The following is a 22,199-nucleotide window of genomic DNA, read 5'->3' on the forward strand; positions in this document are numbered from 1 at the left end:
GGCTACAGAATGCACATTTTTTTCCTCAGCACATGGATTATTCTCAAGGATAGACTGTGTGTTGGGTCATAAGACAAGTCTTAAAATGTTGAAAAACATTGAAATAATATCAAGCATCTTCTCTGACCACAATGGAATAAAACTAGAAATTAATAACAAGAGGAATACAAATACGTGGAAATTAAACAATATGCTCATGAATGACCAGTGGGTCCATGAAGAAATTAAAAAGGAAACTGAAAAATTTCTTGAAACAAATGTAAGTGGAAACAACATAACAAAACCTATGGGATACTGCAAAAGCAATACTCAAAGGGAAGTTTAAAGTTGTAAGTGCCTACATCAAAAAAAAGGAAAAACTTCAAATAAACAATCTAATGATACATCTTAAAGAACTAGAAAAGCAAGAGCAAACCAAATCCAAAATTAGTAGAAAGAAATAAGATCAGGGCAGAAATAAATGACATTGACATTTTAAAAAACCAATACAAAATTTCAAGGAAACAAAAAGTTGTTTTTTTTTAAAAAGTTAAACAAGATTGACAAACCTTTAGCCACATTAAGAAAAAAAAAACAAGATACAAATAAAATTGGAAATGAAAAAGGAGACATTACAACTGATACTGCAGAAATTCAAAGGATCATTAGTGGCTTCTATGACCAACTCTATGCCACTAAATTTGAAAATCTAAAAGAAATGAACAAATTCCTAGACATATACAACCTACCAAGATTGAACCAGGAAGAAATCCAAAACATGAACAGACCAATAACAAATAACAAGATCAAAGCCATAATAAAAATTCCAAATCAAAACTACAATGAGATACCATCTCACCCCAGTTAAAATGACTTATATCCAAAAGACAGGCAGTAACAAATGCTGGAAAGGATGTGGAGAATGTAAATTTGTACAACCACTATGGAGAACAGTTTGGAGGTTCCTCAAAAAACTAAAAATAGTGCTACCATATGATCCAGCAATCCTACTGCAGGGCATATACCCAAAAGAAAGGAAATCAGGATATCAAGGAGATATCTACACTCCAATGTTTGTTGCAGCACTGTTCACAATAGCTAAGATTCGGAAGCAACCTAAGAGTCTATCAACAGATGAATGGATAAAGAAAACGTGGTATATATACACAATGGAGTACTAGTCAGCCATAAAAAAACGAGATCCTGTCATTTGCAACATCATGGATGGGACTGGAGATTGTTAAGTGAAATAAGCCAGGCAAAGAAAGACAAACATCGCATGTTCCCACTTATTTGTGGGATCTAAAAATCAAAACAACTGAACTAATGGACATAGAGTAGAAGGATGGTTACCAGAAGCTGGAAAGGGTCGTGGAGGACTCAGGGGGAAGTGGGGATGGTTAATGGGTACAAAAAAAGAGTTAGAATGAATAAGACCATTTGATGGCACAACAGGGTGACTATAGTCAGTAATAATTTAATTGTACATTTTAGAATAACTAAAAGGTTGCAACTGGATTCTTTGTAATACAAAGGATAAAGCCTTGAGGGGAAGGATACCCAATTCTTGATGTGATTATTTCACACTGCTTGCCTGTATCAAAACATCTCATGTACCCCATAAATAGATAAACTCACTCTGTAACCACAAAAATTTAAAATAAATTTAGTAAAATAAAACAGAGCTGTTGATCTTTCCTTCTGTCCAAAATATAAAACTTGCTCTTCCAACACTGTTTCCCAATTCAGTAGCCAGCAACTCCATTCTTCCAATTGTTCTGACCAAAAATTCTGTGATCATCACTGACCTTTCTTTTCTCTCACAATTTATATGTGATCCATTAGTAAATCATGCTACCTCTATCTTCAAAATACATAAAAATTTGCTCTTTTGTCACTACTTTCACTGTTACCACCCCAGTCCAAGCCACCAATACTTCCTGACTGGATTACTGCAACAGTCTCCTAAGTGGTCTCCCTGCTTCCATCCTGCCCCTGCCTCTCTTCAGTCTGTTCTCAACATAGGAGCCAGAGTGACTTTGTTAAACCGTAAGTCAAATTATGTCACTATTTTGATTAAATAGTTCCAATAACTTCCATTCTCAGATGGGAAAGTGAAAATCCTCTCAATAGCCTATAAAATCTGCCCCCACCACCATAGCTCATCAGACCTCATTTCTTACTACTTTCCTTCAAGTTCACTCTGCTCCAGCCACACTAACATTCTTACTATTCCTCAAAAATACTGGCATTCTGCTTCAGGGCATTTGCATTTGATAGTCCCTTTACTTAACATGTCCTTTCCACACAGCACATTACCTCACCTCCTAGTCTCTACTTAAGTGTCACCTTTACAGTGAGGTCTTCCTGGCCACCCTATCTAAATACCTATCTAAACTCTTCCCAATAGTTTCTATCGCATTTTCTCACCTTCTTTTCCTTAGCTCTTACAAACTATACATATATACATGCATATATAAAAATTTACACACATATATAAAATTTACCTTCTTTATTCTGTGTCTCCCCACCCAGTAGATAAAAGCTCCATAAGGGTGGGCAATTTTATCTGTTTGGTTCACTGCCATATCTCTAGTGATAAGAATAGTCTTTGGCAAATAATAGGTGTTCAGTAAATATTTGCTGAAAGAACAAGTAAACCAAGAAATAGATATGTCCTAAATGCCACTTAAGAAAGGGTCTTAAGAAGGTGTAACCAACTGATAAGGTTTGGCTCTGTGTCCCCACCCAAATCTCATCTCGAATTGTACTCCCATAATTCCCATGTGTTGTGGGAGGGACCCAGTGGGAGATAATTTGAATCATGGGGGCAGTTTCCCCCACACTGTTCTCATGGTAGTAAGTCTCACGAGATCTGATGGTTTCATCAGGGGTTTCGGCTTTTGCATCTTCCTCATTTTCTCGTGCTGCCGCCATGTAAGAACTGCCTTTCACTTCCCACCATGATTCTGAGGCCTCCCCAGCCATGTGGAACTGTCAATCCAATTAAACCTCTTTTTCCTCCCAGTCTCAGGTATCTCTTTATCAGCAGCATGAAAACGGACTAATGAACCAACTATGTCAAATCATGATGAAAAATCAAATAAGATGAGAACTGATAACCACTGGATTTGGCAATGCAGAGGTCACTGGTAACCTCAACAAGAACTGCTATGGTGAAACAGAACAAAGCCAAGAGTAAATGGGAGAAAAGGAACTGAAGATAGTATAAGCAAATTCTTCAAATATTCTCTCATAACACAAAACCACTGCACACAATGTTACCTCTTCCCAGAATGCTATACCTTCTTTCATTTCTTCTGATGACCCTTCTCCCTATTGTCCTCAAAGACTTAGCTTAGGTATTATATTCTATAAGAAACACTGTGAACTTTTTATATCCCCATGTACATACCATATCACAGGTACATTAGTGCTATTCCTAGTATACATATGCTCATTGAGCATCTGATTGTGTCTAAACTCTGAGTATCTTAAGGCAGGGATTCTTGCACAAAACAGAAGCTCAACAAATATTTCTTGGATGAGAAAACTTTGAAATAAAAGTTCTTAATAGCTTCTAATAATTCATTATTCCACGTTTTCCTTAATGTATATCCAAAACATGTTTTATTAATTGTCTGCATATTTGCACATAAGACATTATAAAATAATAAAGGAAAATAATTAAATGTAAATCTAATAATCTGGCTTCTCCCTAAAGAATATATACTTAATACACATCTATTACAACTTCAACTATTATTCTAGTTAATTCCTACTTTTCCTGGAAAACATCTCTTAATTTTATCCCTTAAATTATGCAATATTTAAAAAACCATAAATATTTTGATATTGCAACACATAAAATGAAATCTTACCAAATATAATTGTTACATGGTCTATAAATAAATGTTAAGTCCATCTAATTCTAGTTACTTAAGCACAGGGACATTTTATTAAATATGTTTTCTAATACTTTTTGAAGCACTACTTCTACATATTGCACAGTGCTTAAGAAAACTCTGGTATCAGGTTTGAGGAGAGGGTTTGTGCCCATTTCTCAAACGGCTTGTGTTAAGAATTCTAGGCATGGTGGGGGCAATGTGTTTCCCAAACAGAATAATCTGAGGCACTTTTTAAAAAATAGATTCCTGGGCTCCAACCCTAGAAGATTCTGACTTTGTGCGTTTGAGCAAAAGGCTAGAAACTGGTGAAAAGCTCTTCAAACTATTTTGAAGATAAGCCAGGTTTGGGAAATCATGAGCATGTATCTAGAAGCATTAAGTAGACTACAAGTAGGTTTCCAGTAATTCCTACCAGAGCTTAAAAAGTTGCTACTCTGAACCCATATAAACACAAAAAAAATCTATCTACCGTGCAAATGTTATTCTGAATCGCTTTTCCAATTACAATTTTGACTTGCGTTGAATAAATTAAGTTTCTATACCATAAATACTGAGCTGTCAAAAACCACTTTTACTAAACTACAATAAGACTTGGTCAGTATTTTTTCTTAAGAACACGATTTACCACAAATAAAGAAAATAGCTTCTACACCCTTCATTTTGTCTTTTAAAAAAGCCATACATAGAAGCAATGAACAGTTATTATTTTAACCTGCAACCATATAGTGTGGTATACTTTTCAAAATATTTCAGATGCATCGTCATTTGAGCTCATCACCAACTGGTGAGACCCTTTCACTATGTTAAAAAAAAAAAAAAGTACTCTAAATTCTATACCTACTTAATACATAAACAATGGGCTCTGACTCCCATAAGGAAAGCAGAGTCAAATAACAAAATGCCCCAAGTTAATTATATTCCATCAATGGTCTTCACTGGTATAGATTATTTGTAAACTCTCAATAATATCCTTAAGAACAATCTTGCAAAAATTTGCTTACGGGAAGTACCTAGAATAATAAATTTGAAAAGATATTGCACTCTGGCTGCACACGGTGGCTCACATCTGTAATCCCAACACTTTGGGAGGCGGAAGTGGGAGGATCACTTGAGCCCAGGAGTCCAGCACACCAGCCTGGGCAACATACAGAGACCCCATCTTTACCGAAAAAAAAAAAAAAATAGCCCAGCATCATGGCCCACATCTGTGGTCTCAGCCACTTGGGGAGGCTGAGGTGGGATGATCACCTGAGCCCAAGATTTCAAAGATACAGTGAGCAGTGATTGCACCATTGCACTATAGCCTGTGTGACGCAGAGCAAGGGCCTGTCTCAGTTTAAAAAAAAAAAAAAGCTATCGCATTCTTGTAACAACTGGCAAAAGTTTCAAAATATAGACCAAGGTATAGATGTGCATCTTATGCTAAAACTGGTAGTAGCTTATTTTATAACTTAGTCTTAAATCTAGACTAGAGATTTTTATAGATACAGATTTTATAGATTTATAGATTTTATATTGATAGAATAACTGGAGAATTTTATCAATATAACTTGAGAAAAAGAACAAAAAAGTGACCCCAAAAGCCCTATATTATTTCTGACATTGAAACTAATTGCCATATAAACCAGTTACTAAGATAAATATAACTAAAAGATAAATGACTAGAGAAGTATACACAAGTAGATGGCAAAAAGAAGATGGAGAACTACAAGCAACACTGAGAAAATGATGAAATGTCATGTGGCACCACCACTGGCAATCCCAGGTGATAATAAAATGGTCAAAGAACCAGTAAGCAAATGATAGACTAGTCATGATTCAGCCTTTACTGAGAAAATGATGAAATGTCATGTGGCACCACCACTGGCAATCCCAGGTGATAATAAAATGGTCAAAGAACCAGTAAGCAAATGATAGACTAGTCATGATTCAGCCTTTACTGAGAAAATGATGAAATGTCATGTGGCACCACCACTGGCAATCCCAGGTGATAATAAAATGGTCAAAGAACCAGTAAGCAAATGATAGACTAGTCATGATTCAGCCTTTACCACCAACATTGCACTCACATTTTCAAAACCTGAGGACAATGATCTGCTCATTCTGGAACAGTTCTATCCTCAGACTAAGTAATATTTGACCAATAAGTTTTACATAAGTTTCAGGCAAAGGTGGAAACAAAACAGATGATGAAAACAGCACTGACTTTTTATTACTAAAGCTAAGGTTACAGCAACATTGGTTTTCACTATGCATCACATTTGTGAATATTACATCTTCTGCTGTGGCATAATTTAAAAATTACTAGAGTTGTTTCTATACTCACAAGTCAAACACTGAACTGAAAAAATATTGAGGTTTTAATATTAGCTCAATATATTTCACAAACATGAATGATCTGTCATTACTATTTGAAATAAAATGTCCAGAGCCCTTTCACTGATTCCTAAATTATATTCTCAGTATCATATTAAATTTGTGCCACCAATTTCAAGATGCTGTATGATTCAGATTTTACTCCCTCATTGAAACTTTTCAGGAAACTTATTTTCATTGTTATACATTAAAGATGTGTCATTTGGATAAAATCATAAGCATGTATATTCAACGATGAGAAATTCGAGTATGTTTGTTGTTTTGTATAAGTTGTGCAACTATACCAAAAGAAAGTCAAAGCATTACCTTCCTTACAGTTTACTGAAACACAATTATGAAATTTAAGCGGTGTGACATATAACACAGCTTCTAATTACTGCTAGAAGAACAAGATGTAATTTACCTCACCAAATAAATCATATCTAGTTTCAGAAGACCTTAGTGCTATACTGCTCTCATAACCCCCAAGGAGTAAAAACAATACAAGTGTACCACGAGAAGACCTCAAAATCCTTCACATTTACTCCACCAGCTGAATTCAACCTAACAGACTAAATTATCTGGAGCAGGGCTTCAGTTAAGGCTGCTCCAGCTAGGTAAAGCTACTATGCCTGGTACTTTGGGAGACCTAGCATATGGAAAAGAAGGGAGACTTGAAAGGATTAGGGAAAAAGACAAGACACTGGGGTAAACTCTACTCTTGGGATAACTAAGAAGATAAATAATTACTACGGGTTTACTTTAGTTTTGTTTTTCCATCAGCAATTTGGGCTATTATAATAGGTCTGTAACCCTAATCACCACGATACAGAGTCCCAGCTTGAGAAAAATGAAATGACTTATCAGTTACCTTTTCAAAGTAATACATTAAATACAATCTGAAAAAGCACTCTGGTGTCCAAAAAACAAAAACAAACAAAAAAAACCAACTGAATACAGAGCACCACCTCATTCCTTACTCTGCAATCTCAATTTTGTCTTTTCTTATCTTTACTCCATCTTGCCCTACCTCTGTTTGTCCTAGGCATCCTTTCCCTCTTACATATTATAGATGTACAGAGACGCAAAACAGAAGAACAACTTTATTTGTGGAATTTACATACCAGGGCTTCTTGCCTACAAGACTTCAAACCAAGGTACCGTATTTGAAATGCCCAATTTAAATCCTGTGCAACATACATGAGGGAATAACATTTTGTAACCAAACCCAAATCGTAGAATCTTTGATAAAACCCCAAGAGCACCACACAAACACATTCTCAATTGCTTTTAATATATTTTCCTCTGTAAAGGACAAAAAATGCTGTGCTTGAGGCAATAATCAGTGGCCTAGAATGATTTCTGAAGCTCTTGACTTTACCATAAAAGTTGTACTAAGACACTGATTGAAAATTACATTTCAAATATACCGCTCACTAAAGAAATGTCAACAAGCTCTGGGACCAACTTTGAGTTATTGTCCAAGGAAGACTAAAAATAGCCCCCCAATAGCGATTTAATTTTAAGAAAATACAAAAGTAGCTTATTTAGGAGTATTTTAATGAAGATGAAGAGAACTGGAAATCAGTGAAGTTTTCAGCAGCCTCTTCAGATAAGACCTACCTTAAATTGCCTTCAGGTGTGCACATTTTAACATCCAGTGAATTGCCTGGAGGTTGCCTGGGGTTTCTGCTGATTATAGCAGGCGGTGAAACCTGAACTAATAATTACGGCCAGGAGGTGAGAGCCCTTCAGGACGCCACCCTGGGCGCGCTCCCCGGGAGCAGCCCACCGCTTGCTGTGCTTCCATCAGTCCTTTATTAGGTAAAGGGTTTCCCCCCACCCCGGGTGCTTTAAGAATGCGTTTAATAAGAAATTTCTCACAGGATCTAACGGAATAAAGTGCCACCAAAATAACCTTTTCGCAGTTTTCGTAATTGTGATGGAGTGGGAAAGGGGACAAAGCCGTCAAACCGGGTGCCCGGTGGATCCGCGGACCTGATCTTCCTGCACGGACCCGAGAGAGAGTCCCTAGACGAGGAAGAGGGGAAAGGCATTTGTAGGGTGTTAACTGGTGGACTCGGGACCAGAGAGACAGCTGCGGATTCCCCTCGGGGTGATGCTCCGTGCAGGAGCGGTCACGGCGTCCAGAGGAACCCGCGGGTGCAAACTCCGGGAGCGGCTTGCAGGGTGACGGCGGCGGCCCCCGCTCCCCGGTACCTGATGATGTCGTCGCTGTGGCCCCGGTAGAACTTCTGCCTGTGCTCCCGCGGGCTGTACACCACGCCGACCCCCGCCACGAAGTATACGATCTCCTTGGCCGCAGTGTAGTAGAGGTTGTTGCGGCACTGGTGGCCCCGGTAGCCGTACACCCACTCGAGCCGCAGGTGGCAGCTCGGGGCGCTCCGGGCCGCCATGTCGGGGCGCCCACCCGCCGCTCCCGCTCGGGCCCGCGGCGGCGACGGGAGGCGGCGGCGGCCCGGCAACGAAAGCCCTCCCGCTGGCTGCCGGGACTTCCCGCCAGCCGCGTCCTCTAAGCCGCGCCCGTCAGGTGCATCTCGTTTCGGGGGCCGCCGCCGCCTCAGCCCACAGGCGGGAGGAAAACCCTCGCCTCGCGGAACATGCTGAGGGCCGCGAGCGCCGCCGGCTGTCAAGTGGATGCCCAGAGCCCTTCGCCCGCCTCGGCTCGCCTAGTCTCCTCAGCCCGTAGCGCCTGGGCCGAGAGCGAGGGCCCGCCTCCAGCTCCTCAGCCGCCGCCCGCGCACGCAGCTCCCAGCCCCGGTCACCTGCGGCGCTCGCGCCCCGCCGCGGCTTTGTAGCCACAGCCTGGCGGACCCGCGCCGCGCACCCCGAAACCGAGCGAGCCGAGCCGAGCCGAGCCGAGCGGCGGGCGCGCGGCCTTGCGTGGCCCCGCCCCCTCCCGCGCTCACTCCGCCCCTCCCGGAGCCGAGAAGAGGCTGGAGTTCGCGGGGCCACGGTCTAGTTGCGGAGTCGCTGGGACCGCGTCTCTGCAAGTGCGCGGGCCGGTGAGCCCTCCCTCGTTGAGCTGCTTAAGCCCAGGCGGACCCTCGGCGACCCCGGGCTCCCGCTGCTTTGCGTCCTCAACCGGGAAGCACCTGCCGGTTCCGCACGGTCCCTGCACCCAGCGTAGGCCACGTTTTTGCCTGGGAAAATCCACACCGGGATGCTAAATTCTCTTTTTTACGCTTGATACCTTGTGTGTCTTGCTGCCTTATAGTGCTTTCGGACCCAGACATTGGAATGATGCCGAGCTTCCTAAATGTGCTTTTAAATTATTATTTTTAGAAACAGAGCCTCGCTCTGTCGCCCAGGCTGGAGTGGAGTGGCGCAGTCTCAGCTCACTGTAGCCTCCAACTCCTGGGCTCCAGCGATCCTCCCGCCTCAGTCTCCGGAGTAGTAAGGAGTACAGTTGCGTACCACTATGCCCGGCAAATGTTTTGCTTTGTTTTTAAGTTTATTTTGTAGAGGCGGGGGTCTTGCTGTGTTGCCCAGGCTGGTCTCCACCTCCTGACCTTCAGCAGTTCTTCTGCCTCAGGCCTCCCAAAGCGCTGGGATTACAGGCCCAATCCACTGCTCCTGGTCCTAAGTGTATGTTTTCTTAAGTGACCGCAAAGCTGAAGGTAGACTTTAGATGGTAAACTGACATGTGAGATCTGATTTCCGAATAGCAAAAAAAAAAAAAATTGTACTTCGATTTTTTTAAAAATGACTGGGACATCACCAACAGTTACTCTTAATTAAATAAATTCAATTGTGATCCTGTAGAAAACTCCTGTAATAAAAGTATTGGGAACAATCAATTCCTGACTATGTCATTTCCCCTCCTACTCAGTTGTGTCCTCTTCTCACAGGAATATGAACAAGATTTATCAATACCTCTAAAAATAATTGGAAATCCACAATTTAAAAAGTGTTAAGTTCAGGATGGCCACAAGATTTACAACAAAAAAATACTAATTCAGGATATACCAATATGAACCCTTATTGTCTAAAAATTACTGTTTGATTTCCATAGGAAATACCAAGACAGAAATCTGACAAAAGCTAAAATAAACTACCATCGTTTCAAGAAATATGACTCCAAAAGGGGTTGACTCCTGTGTGGTACAGATATATTGGAATAGATGTTATCCAATGTCTACTTCCTCAAAGATGCCAGTTACTAACTTGAGACAGGATTACCGTTTCGTCTTTGATTATGACTTCTAATCTGCAAGCAGTTTACATGCAGGAAATAAAGGCCATCTGAAAGGAATTTACATAGATGTCATGAAAAGTAAACTCTGAAAGAGTTTCCATTCTGGGCAGAATCTGAAAAAGAGGAATAGCTTTCTGGCAGCTGCTGCAAATAAACAAAGAAATCAGGCCTGAGAAGTGGCTCTAAGGCCCATGTAGGGTACCCTGGGCAAAAGCACACACAGTTTCTCTTTGTCACCAGGAGGGCGTTTTCTGTTTTTTAATAAGAATATGTTCTAATTCACTAGTGAGTTCCTTGAAATCCCCTGGTGAGAAAAAGAAAAATTGTTGATTATTTAAATTCAAGCAGTGAACTTAGAAAACATTAAATATTTGTTGCTATACATTTGTGATATATTAATTACTGGTTACATGTAAATTTTATGAGACGAGATGGAAGAATATAGTTTTTTCTATGTTTCGGATTTTTCAGCACAATATCTTATGGATCCCATGATACACACTTAAGTACTCAGATTAATAAGAGATTTAAGTAATTTATTTTCCCATTATCATATTTTCCATTACGATTTTAATGACCCAAGTGTAGAGTGCGAAGCAAAAACATTCTTAATTAAACCATCCTCAACTGGCGACTCAAGACCAAAAGAGACAGCCGAGGCACAAAGGTGGCTAGAAAATGAACCATTCATGAATACTAGAGGAAGAAAAAAACAAACCTGATCAGTTCTTACCCTCACAACTTTATATAATCCAGTATTACCAATGTCACATCAGAAAGCTTAATGAAGCTTCTATTGCTAGGTGATATTCCATCATCTGTATCCTGTGAAAGTAATGCAAATAAGGATGTGGGAGAAAGAAACAAAAAATTATACACATCAACAAATGGACATTTGTTAAGCATTCCAGACGAAGGCTGCAATACCCCCTGTATTCGTCCGTTCTCATGCTGCTAATAAAGACATACCTGAGACTGGGTAATTTATAAAGAAAAGAGGTTTAATTGACTCACAGTTCCGCATTGCTAAGGAGGCCTCACAATCATGGTGGAAGGCAAAGAGGAGCAAAGTCGCACATGGCAGCAGACAAGAAGAATTTGCGCAGGGGAGCTCCATTTATAAAACCATCAGATCTCATGAGACTTATTCACTACCACTAGAACAGTATGGGGGAAACCACCCCCACGATTCAATTATCCCCACCTGGCACCACCCTTGACATGTGGGGATTATTACAATTCAAGGTGATATTTGGGTGGGATACAGCCAAACCATATCACCCCCTTTGGTAATCTAGTTCCTGAAACTTGAGTTCCTAGTATGGAATTTGAGATATTTGAAATATTTCTAAAATTCAGGCAAATAAATCATGTGCTGGCTACTGATTAGGTACCCTTAGGTTTATAAAGAAATCTAAGGCAAAATGTAGAAAACATAAAAACCAAAATTCCCCAGCCTGGCCAATATGGCAAAACCCCATCTCTACTAAAAATACAAAAAAAAGTAGCCGGGTGTGGTGGTGCAGGCCACCATCTCAGAAAAAAAAAAAAAAAATTCATGCAATTACTTCTAGCTAGCATGGTGGCTCTCACCTCTAATCCCGGCACTTTGGGAGGCCAAGGTGGGTGGTCAGGAGTTTGAGACCAGCCTGGCCAACATGGTGAAACTCCATGTCTAGTAAAAACACAAAAATTTGCCAGGCATGGTGGCGGGCGCCTGTAATCCCAGCTACTCGGGAGGCTGAGACAGGAGAATCGCTTGAATCCGGGAAGTGGAGGTTGCAGTGAGCTGAGATCGCACCACCGCACTCCAGCCTGGGAAACAAAGAGTGAAACTCTGTCTCAAAAAAAAAAAAAGTATATATATATTATATATATATTATATGTTATATATATTATATATATTATATATATATTATATGTTATATATATTATATATATTATATATATATTATATGTTATATATATTATATATATATTATATGTTATATATATTATATATATATTATATGTTATATATATTATATATATATTATATGTTATATATTTTATATATATATTATATGTTATATATATTATATATATATTATATGTTATATATTTTATATATATATTATATGTTATATATATTATATATATTTTATATATATATTATGTTTATATATTATATATATTATATATATTATATGTTATATATATTATATATATTATATCTCTTATATGTTATATATATTATATATATATTATGTTATATATATTATATATATTATGTTATATATAATATATATTATATGTTATATATGTTATACATATTATATGTTATATGTTATATATATTATATATGTTATATGTTATATATTATATATATTATGTATATTATATGTTATATATATTATATATATTATGTATATTATATGTTTTATATATTATATATTATATATATTATATGTTTTATATATTATATATTATATATATTATATGTTATATATATTATATATTATATACATTATATGTTATATATATTATATATTATATATATTATATGTTATATATATTATATATTATATATATTATATGTTATATATATTATATATTATATATATTATATGTTATATATATTATATATTATATATATTATATGTTATATATATTATATATTATATATATATTATATGTTATATATATTATATATTATATGTTATATATATTATATATTATATGTTATATATATTATATATTATATGTTATATATTATATATATTATATGTTATATATATTATATATATAATATGTATATAATATATATAACATATTATATATATATATCTGTAGTCTTACCTTTGATCAGCCTATTGTACATGCAGAGCCTACCACAGTGCCTGGTACTACAATAGCTGTTCCCTACATATTTATCAACCATGAATTAGAAAAGAAAATGTTGTGCACAATCCTATTGTGTTGTGCACAATAGGATTCCTCTTAGTTTTATCTTGAATACTTGAAATCTTTGAAAACTTGGAAGTTTTCTTTCTTTCCTTCTTTTTTTTTTTTTTTTTTTGAGACAGAGTCTTGCTCTGTCACCCAGGCTGGAGTACAGTGGTGTGATCACACTTCACTGCAGCCTCGACCTCCCAGGCTCAATTGATCCTCCTACCTCAGTCTCCCAAGTACCTGAGGCTGCAGGCATCTGTCACCGCACTCAGCTAATTTTTTATTTTTTAGTAGAGGTGAGGTCTCACTATGTTGCCCAGTCTGGCCTCAAACTCCTGGACTTGAGCAATCCTCCTGCCTCAACCTCCCAAAGTGCTAGGATTACAGGTGTGAGCCAGCGTTAGCCACTATGTCCAGCCTTGAACCTTATTTGATATCCAATACTGTGTTAGTCAGGACTTCTTTGGTTGTACGTGACAGAAACCCACTCAAAAGGCTTAAGATAAAAAGGGAATTTTAATGCCTCATAAGACTGAAAAGCTCTAGAACTGGCATCAATGCACTTGAATCCTAGGGATCAAGTGATGTCATCAGAAACAGGTCATCAGGCTGGGCACAGTGGCTCACACCTGTAATCCCAACATCTTGGGAGGCTGAGGCAGGTGGATCATTTGAGGTCAGGAGCTCGAGACCAGCCTGACCAACATGGTAAAACCCCACCTCTACTAAAAATACAAAAAAATTAGCCGGGCATGGTGGTGCATGCCTGTAGTCCCAGCTACTCCGGAGGCTGAGGCAGGAGAATCGCTTGACCCCGGGAGGCAGGGGTTGCAGTAAGCCAAGATTGCACCACTGCACTCCAGCCTGGGCAACAGAGCAAGACTCTGTCTCAAAAAAGAATACAAAACAAACACAACAACAACAAAACAAAAAAACAGATCATCAGAATTAACTCAGTTCTACTTTGAGTAGACTCCATTGCCAGACAAGCAAAACAGCTGCCAGCCACTCCAATTCTATATCCCACCCGCTTAGCAATCACTGTGGAAAGAGCTTTTCTCAGCAGTTCCCCTGGAAACTGTTAGACTTTAGCCTGGTTAACTCTGATTGGCTGACTTATATGCCGCCCTTGGATCCATAGAGTAGTGCCAGGTGCGCCAAAACCACAGGAAGGGGGAGTAGGGGTGGAGGAATCCTCTCAAAGAAAATCAAAATAGTATTACCGGAATAAGAAAGAATGGGGGCCAGCAGGGCTGCACAGGGCTGACTTGGGAGCTGTAACATTCCCCAGTCTTCATTTACCAAACCAAATACACCTGCAATCTAAATCGTAAAACAGATGTTTGGTAAATAAATGCAACTATAACACAGTACTCTTTCTAACCAGATTGCCACCCAAAGATCCTCCTCAGGAAAAAAAAAAAAAAATCTTGAAGCTAGTACCAGATGCCAGGCAGGCACAACCAGCAGATGTTCCCTACTATTAACTATATTTTCAAATGCCTATTAGATTCCACCTAAAGCCTTTAAAAACTGGTACCATATATAATTCAAATAAAAGAAATCTCTAATCAAATTATCTTGTCCTACACATCTGCACACCTTGCCATCTTCTCTTTCTGTTTTAATATCAGTATTACCCCAGTGAGGCAGGTTGGAAAGATAGGCAGTTGCCTTTGGTTCCTTACTGTTTCTCACCTCCAATATTTAGTTACCAAGTCCTTTTGGCTCTGTTTTAGAAATATTACTAAAACGCATCCCCATCTCTACATCAATGCTTTCCCAATCCCCACTGCCACAGTTCAGTTCAAGCTGTAATTATCTTTTCCCTAGATTCTGCCACCTGAGTTAGCTGTAAAAAAATCATTTATCTGATCATGCCAATTCCTCTCTTTTAACAACATTTGCTATAAGCAACTTAGGAATAGGTATCTTGTGCCTTGAAATATTCTTATGTTTTGACCCACAGATTTCTCATCTGGATACCTGCCACAAGGTAATAACAAAAAAATGTAAATCAGGATTCATGTTGAAATTCATGTTCAAATATTTATCAAAAGGCTGGGCACAGTAGCTCACACTAGTAATCCCTGTACTATGGGAGGCCAAAGGGGGAGAATTGCTCCAGTTCAGGAACATAGTGAGACCCCATTGCTACAAAAAGAAAAAAAAACAATTAACCAGGCATTGTGGCATATGCTTGCAGTCCTAGCTACTCAGGTGGCTGAGGGAGGAAGATCGCTTGAGCCCAGGAGTTCAAGGTTGCAGTGAACCATGATCATGTCACTGCACTCCAGCCTGAGTGACAGAGTGAGACCCTGTCTTTAAAAAAAAATTATCACAGCATAACTTAGGACAATAAAAAATATGGAAGCCTAAATGCCCAACCACGGAGAAAACCTTAAGCAAATTGATTCAGCCAGTATGACAAAATATTATAAACCATCAAAAATTAGGCGTTTTTTTGCAGATAAATTTTGGCAACGTTGCAAATTTCCCATAATAGAATGTAAATGTTTTATAGCAGGATACAAAAACATATATATAGAATGAGCCCGTTTATATAATATAATGAGGACTAGATCAAAAGATACCAAAATGTGAACAGTTTTGTAATATGATGGGCAATTTTTTTTATTATACCTTAAGTTCTGGGGTACATGTGCACAACGTGCAGGTTTGTTACATAGGTATACATGTGTCATGGTGGTTTGCTGCACCCATCAACCCATCATCTACATTAGGTATTTCTCCTAATGCTATCCCTCCCCTAGCACCCCACCCCTGACAGGCCCTGGTGTGTGATGTTCCCCTCCCTGTGTTCATGTGTTCTCATTGTTCAACTCCCGCTTATGAGTGAGAACATGCGATGTTTGGTTTTCTGTTCTTGTGTTAGTTTGCTGAGAATGATGGTTTCCAGCTTCATCCATGTCCCTGCAAAGGACATGAACTCATCCTTTTTTATAGCTGCATAGTATTCCATGGTGTTTATGTGCCACATTTTCTTTATCCAGTCTATCATTATTGATGGGCCTTTGGGTTGGTTCCAAGTCTTTGCTATTGTGAAGAGTGCCACAATAAACATACATGTGCGTGTGTCTTTATAGTAGAATGATTTATAATCCTTTGGGTATATACCCAGTAATGGGATTGCTGGGTCAAATGGTATTTCTATTTCTAGATCCTTGAGGAATCGCCACACTGTCTTCCACAATGGTTGAACTAATTTACACTCCCATCAACAGCATAAAAGCGTTGCTGTTTCTCCACATCTTCTCCAGCACTGTTGTTTCCTGACTTTTTAATGATCACCATTCTAACTGGCATGAGATGGTATCTCATTGTGGTTTTGATTTGCATTTCTCTAATGATCAGTGATGATGAGCTTTTTTTCATGTTTATTGGCTGCATAAATGTTTTCTTTTAAGAAGTGTCTGTTCATATCCTTAGCCCACTTTTTGATGGAGTTGTTTTTCTCTTGTAAATTTGTTTAAGTTCTTTGTAGATTCTGGATATTAGCCCTTTGTCAGATGGATAGATTGCAAAAATTTTCTCCCATTCTGTAGCTTGCCTGTTCACTCTGATGATAGTTTCTTTTGCTGCGCAGAAGCTCTTTAGTTTAATTAGACCCATTTGTCTATTTTGGCTTTTGTTGTCATTTTTTTGGTGTTTTAGTCACGAAGGTTTTGCCCTTGCCTATCTCCTGAATGGTATTGCCTAGGTTTTCTTGTAGGGGTTTTATGGTTTTAGGTCTTATGTTTAAATCTTTATAATCATTATGGGTAATTTTTCAACTATTTTTGCTATGTTTTCTAAGTTCTTTTTAAATATACTTGTTGGTTGTGCGTGGTGGCTCATGCCTGTAATCCAAGTACTTTGGGAGGCCAAGGCAGGTGGATCACCTGAGGTTGGGAGTTCAAGACCAGCCTGAACAACATGGAGAAACCCCGTCTCTACAAAAAATACAAAATTAGCCAGGAGTAGTGGTGCATGCCTGTAATCCCAGCTACGCTGGAAGCCGAGGCAGGAGAATTGCTTGAACCCGGGAGGCAGAGGTTGCAGGGAGCCGAGATTGTACCACTGCACTTCAGCCTGGGTAACAAAACGAGACTCCGTCTCAAAAAAAATTATATATGTGTTCGTGTGTGTGTGTGTGTGTGTGTGTGTGTGTGTGTGTGTGTGTGTTTGTAGCTGGGTACAGTGGCTCACGCCTATAATCCCAATGATTTAGGAGGCTGTGGCAGATGGGTCACTTGATCCCAAGAGTTCAAGACCAGCCTGGGCAACATAGTGAGACCCTGTCTCTACAAAAAAATTTAAAAAGCAGCTGGGTGTAGTGGCACACGCCTATAATCCCAGCTACTAGAAAGGTTGAGGCAAGAATGATCCTTTGAGCCTAGGAGTTCAAGGCTGCAGTGAGCCAGTTGTGCCACTGCACTCCAGCCTGGGCGACAGAGTGAGACTCTATATCAAAATACGCACAAACAGACAGACACACAAAGACACTATCTCAAAATACACACACACACACACACACACACACACACACACACACACTAAGATGAGATAATTTTGTTTTTCAGCATTCTGCATGGGAAAAGAATTATGTTTGTATAGAAAAAACAAAATACCTGAATGAGTGCTTGGCATAGAAAATTAGATCTTAAAGGAACCGAATGTGGACAATAATGTTCTGCAGGGAGAATGAGGAAGAATTTGTTGCTCCAGGAAGATGAAAGAGGAATGAAAGTAAGAGAGATGGCAAAATTGCAAGTCCTGCCATGTAGCTCTCTCCAAAACCTTTCAAATCTTACATAACATTTCTAAACTCATGAAATGTTAGGTGGGTTCTTTCTTAAAATGGAAACTGGAGAAATGGGCTTCTCATGTGAGTTGATGTAGCAGGAAGCAATGCCACAAGAAGAGAAGAATAAAGTCAGTGGGGAGCAGGCAGGGAAGTCCTGGATTCTAACTGGTAAACTTGGAGCTCAAGCCACGTTAAACTCTCCAAGCGGTAGTGAAGTTGAAACTGACATCTCAGTTACACACACCCATTGCTTTTATTATTAGGGAAAAGTAACAAAAGTAATTTTAAACAAACATTGGGTAGAATCTAATTGCCGTATAAAGTACAAACTCCTCATGTGACATACAATGCCTCCCATCTCTTTTAACAGACTCACCTCCAGCCAGTTCCTCCCTGCTCTGAACTAGCCCTTCTGTGTAGACATTCTAGATTGCTGGTAATTCCTAAAATTAACCAGGCCTTTCAAGAACTGCGTATACATTTGCAGCCTCCATGTTGTGCCTTACCCTCAACCATCCACTGTCAGCCTGTTAAACTCCTACAGAATCTTTGATGTCCAGCCCAAATGAACTGCCTTATTATGAGTTGGATTGTGTTCCTCCCAAATTCATAGGTTGAAATCCTAACCCCTAGTACCTTAGAACAGGGTTCTTAAATCTGCCGGCCATGGACTGCTACCCATCTGTGGCCTGTTAGGAACTAGGCTGCACAGCAGGAGGTGAGCAGCAGGCAAGCGAGCGAAGCTTCATCTGTATTTACAGCCACTCCCCATTGCTTTCATTACCGCCTGAGCTCTGTCTTCTCTCAGATCAACAGGGGCATTAGATTCTCATGGGAGCACAACCCCTATTGTGAATAGATTGCACACGCAAGAGGGATCTAGGTTGCACGGTCCTTATGAGAATCTAAAGCCTGATGACCTGTTGCTGTCTCCCATCAACCCCAGATGGGACTGTCTAGTTGCAGGAAAACAAGCTCAGGGCTCCCACTGATTCTACATTATGGTGAGTTGTATAATTATTTCATTAAATATTACAATGTAATAATAAAAGAAATAAAGTGCACCACAAGTATAATGCACTTGAATTATCCTGACCCACCCCATCCGTGGAAAAATTGTCTTCCACAAAACCAGTCCCTGTTGCCAAAAAGGTTGGGGACTGCTGCCTTAGAATGTGACCTGATTTGGAAAATATTTCATTGCAGATTATAATTCCTTAAATTAAGATGAAATTCATACTGGAGTGAGGTGGGCCCCAATTCAATGTGACAAATGGGTAATTGGGATACAGACACCCACACAAGACAAACTCTCTGTAAAGATGAAGGCAGAGATTTGCAAGTCAAGGACTGTCAAGGACTGGCACAACCACCAGAAGCTAGGAGAAGGGAATAAAACTGATTCTCCCCCACAACCCTCGGAAGGAACTAACACTGCCAACACTTTGATCTTGGACTTCTGGCCTCTAGAAATGTGAGACGAGAAATTTCTATTGTTGAAGCCAGTCAGTTTGTGGTACTTAATTACAGTAGCCCTAGAAATCAAATACATACCTCTCTTCTATAGTTTGCTGTGACATCCCCATACACAACCTCCAGAATTAATCAGTGTTCATTTAAGTCCCTAGTACATTTTATTTTTTTGAGAGGGAGTCTCAGTCTGTTGCCCAGGCTGGAGTGCAGTAATGCTATCTTGGCTCACTGCAACCTCCACCTTCTGGATTCAAGTGATTCTCCTCCCTCAGCCTCCCGAATAGCTGGGATTACAGGGACCCACCACGGCTGGCTAATTTTTTGTATTTTTTAGTAGAGAAGGGGTTTCACCATGTTGGCCAGGCTGGTCTTGAACCCCTGACCTCAGGTGATCCACCTGCCTCAGCCTCCCAAAGTGCTGGGATTACAGGCATGAGCCACTGCACCCAGCCAGTCCCTAATACATTTTATACAATCATACATACCTTTATAGCAGCGCTTATAGGACTTTAGGAAATTATGCTTCCAGGATATGTGTTCTCAAGAGCATGTGTTTGCCACTTACTCTTTTAGAATCTGTAGTTCTCCTTCTTTACTTAGCTACTACCTTAGCCTGGAGTCTCAAGAAAACAGAGCCTGAGGCAATGATTAAGGCACTGATGTTTTAATTGGGAAGGGCAAGCCCAGGGCAGTGAGGTTAAGGAAAAGGAAATGAGTCAAGGAAAACTGTGAAGCAATGCGAAGTGACATAAAGTGACGTTACTCCCTTGCTACCATCTTATCAGAAGCCAGAAGAGACAGAGCAGGTCACCAGGCAGGCACATCCACTTGGCACACAGGATGTCCCTCAATGTGCTGCAAGGACAAATCATGCCATGGAGTAATCCATGGGAAGGAGGATGGGAATTTATTCATCCAGCTTCCTCTTGTTCCCTCTTTCCCATTGGTTAAAGTTCATCTCTCTAGGAGTTAGAATTAATAGCCATACTTCCAGGTTTCATTGTTCAGCTTCTTCTGTGGTTTCTTGGCCACTGGATCCCTGAACCCCAATTCTTACAGGGCAGCATGCAGAGGGCCAGGTGATATCTACACACACAGTGAGTAGCATTACAGGGCAGGAATTCCAACGAAGCTTAGGGAACCTAAGTCTTTTATAATGGGCAGTAAACCTGTCTGACCTTTGCCCTGAAGGAGATGTCATCTTTATTATAGGGACAATAAACAAATCTGTCCCTGTTCAAGAGGAGGATCACACTATCTTTATCTTCCATCATTGTTCACTACATAAATATCCTTGAAAGACAGTCTGGAACCAAGGCAGTGAGTGCCTGTGCTTGCAAGATATGAGAAAGGTGAGAGACCTACAGAACACTGTCCTAACACAGATCCAACACACTGCAGCCAAGTGTTTATTTCCTGACTGGAAATCCTACTAATTTATGATCAATATGTAAAATTTATTTTTGCGGCAACTGAGAATATTGACTTAGGCAGGTAATGCAACATAGTAGATAGCCATAGTACAGCTAAACTACCAGTAAGAAATCTATCTTGACATCAATCTAATAAAGGAAAACATGAGAAATCTTTGCTCAATAAATTAACATAACACCTTCAGGGACATAAAAGATTCTACTCAAACAGTTATGCAATATTTGAGGATATAGTAACTGTGGATGCTTGCAAAGTTACTAAAAGACATTATTATATATTGTAGTGGTGATTATTCTGTAATCACTGCTGACTTGTTTCAAGTTCCTTCATGTTTCTAATTCTTTCAAGTACATTGCCAACAATTCTACTATTTGAAAGCATGTCACAGAAAGTAAAAGGTAAGGAATCACCACCATAGTCATTTTTAAACATAAATTGAGTGCCCACGTGTGAATCATTGGGCTTGGTATTATGGGGGAATAATTTAAAAAATGAATACACAGTCTGTGTTTTGAGAAATTTATGTTCCAAAGATGAAAATGAGATAAAGACATAAGTATCTTTAAAAACAAGTGAAAAAAATATATAAACAAATGAAATATGTATAACTACATATATATTTTTTAATTCAAGTAAACACCATATTTTAAAAATTACAAAAGAATTATAGAGTAAATATGCTCTTATTAAAAGATACATTTCTGAATTCTACTCATCATTAAAAGTTACTATATTTTTTTAAAAAATGGATCTAGGAAAGATAGCAAATAAAAGTAGATTTACCATAGGTTGTGAAAAAAAAAAGAAACTTAATTGCAAAATATGTATGGAGAGAGAAAAAGCTAATTTTGATGTAGGAGGATATTTCCTGGAGAGGCAAATACAGTTTAATTCTAGATAGTACCTTTCTAGAAAGAGGAGATGTGATAATTGGTGATAAAAGAAGATAAAGTCAGGATGCATAAAAGACAAGGATGGTAGGCTGGGTGTGGTGGCACACACCTGTAATCCCAGCACTTTGGGAGGCTGAGGCGGGCAGATCACAAGGGAAAGAGATCGAGACCATCCTGGCCAACATGGTGAAACTCTGTCT

The 22,199-nt window shown here is 39.1% G+C and overlaps 1 protein-coding gene across 23 annotated transcripts in view, besides 2 other annotated features; it reads right to left on the minus strand.

Annotated features, from left to right (window-relative positions):
* EML5 (EMAP like 5) overlaps window positions 1-9,109 on the minus strand; it is a 180,523-nt gene extending 171,414 nt beyond the window's left edge. For 22 of the 23 annotated variants that reach the window (XM_047431057.1, XM_017021065.3, XM_047431056.1 and 19 more), the window contains exon 1: window positions 8,463-9,109. In XM_047431057.1, the coding sequence (XP_047287013.1) occupies window positions 8,463-8,659 (197 nt within the window). In that variant the 5' untranslated portion in view covers window positions 8,660-9,109. Of the gene's footprint in view, window positions 1-7,865; window positions 8,434-8,462 lie in introns of those variants that run through there. The other variant, XM_017021067.3, reaches the window with a different exon arrangement.
* Window positions 8,620-8,699: a silencer, noted in NCBI's record as "silent region_5993". NCBI's record gives its function as "represses an Ori minimal core promoter by ATAC-STARR-seq in GM12878 lymphoblastoid cells {active_cell/tissue: GM12878}" and the evidence as "EXISTENCE:reporter gene assay evidence [ECO:0000049][PMID:35858748]".
* Window positions 8,890-9,249: a silencer, noted in NCBI's record as "silent region_5994". NCBI's record gives its function as "represses an Ori minimal core promoter by ATAC-STARR-seq in GM12878 lymphoblastoid cells {active_cell/tissue: GM12878}" and the evidence as "EXISTENCE:reporter gene assay evidence [ECO:0000049][PMID:35858748]".

The sequence above is a fragment of the Homo sapiens genome, chromosome 14 (assembly GCF_000001405.40).
Source record: "Homo sapiens chromosome 14, GRCh38.p14 Primary Assembly".
In the NCBI taxonomy this organism is placed as follows: domain Eukaryota; kingdom Metazoa; phylum Chordata; class Mammalia; order Primates; family Hominidae; genus Homo; species Homo sapiens.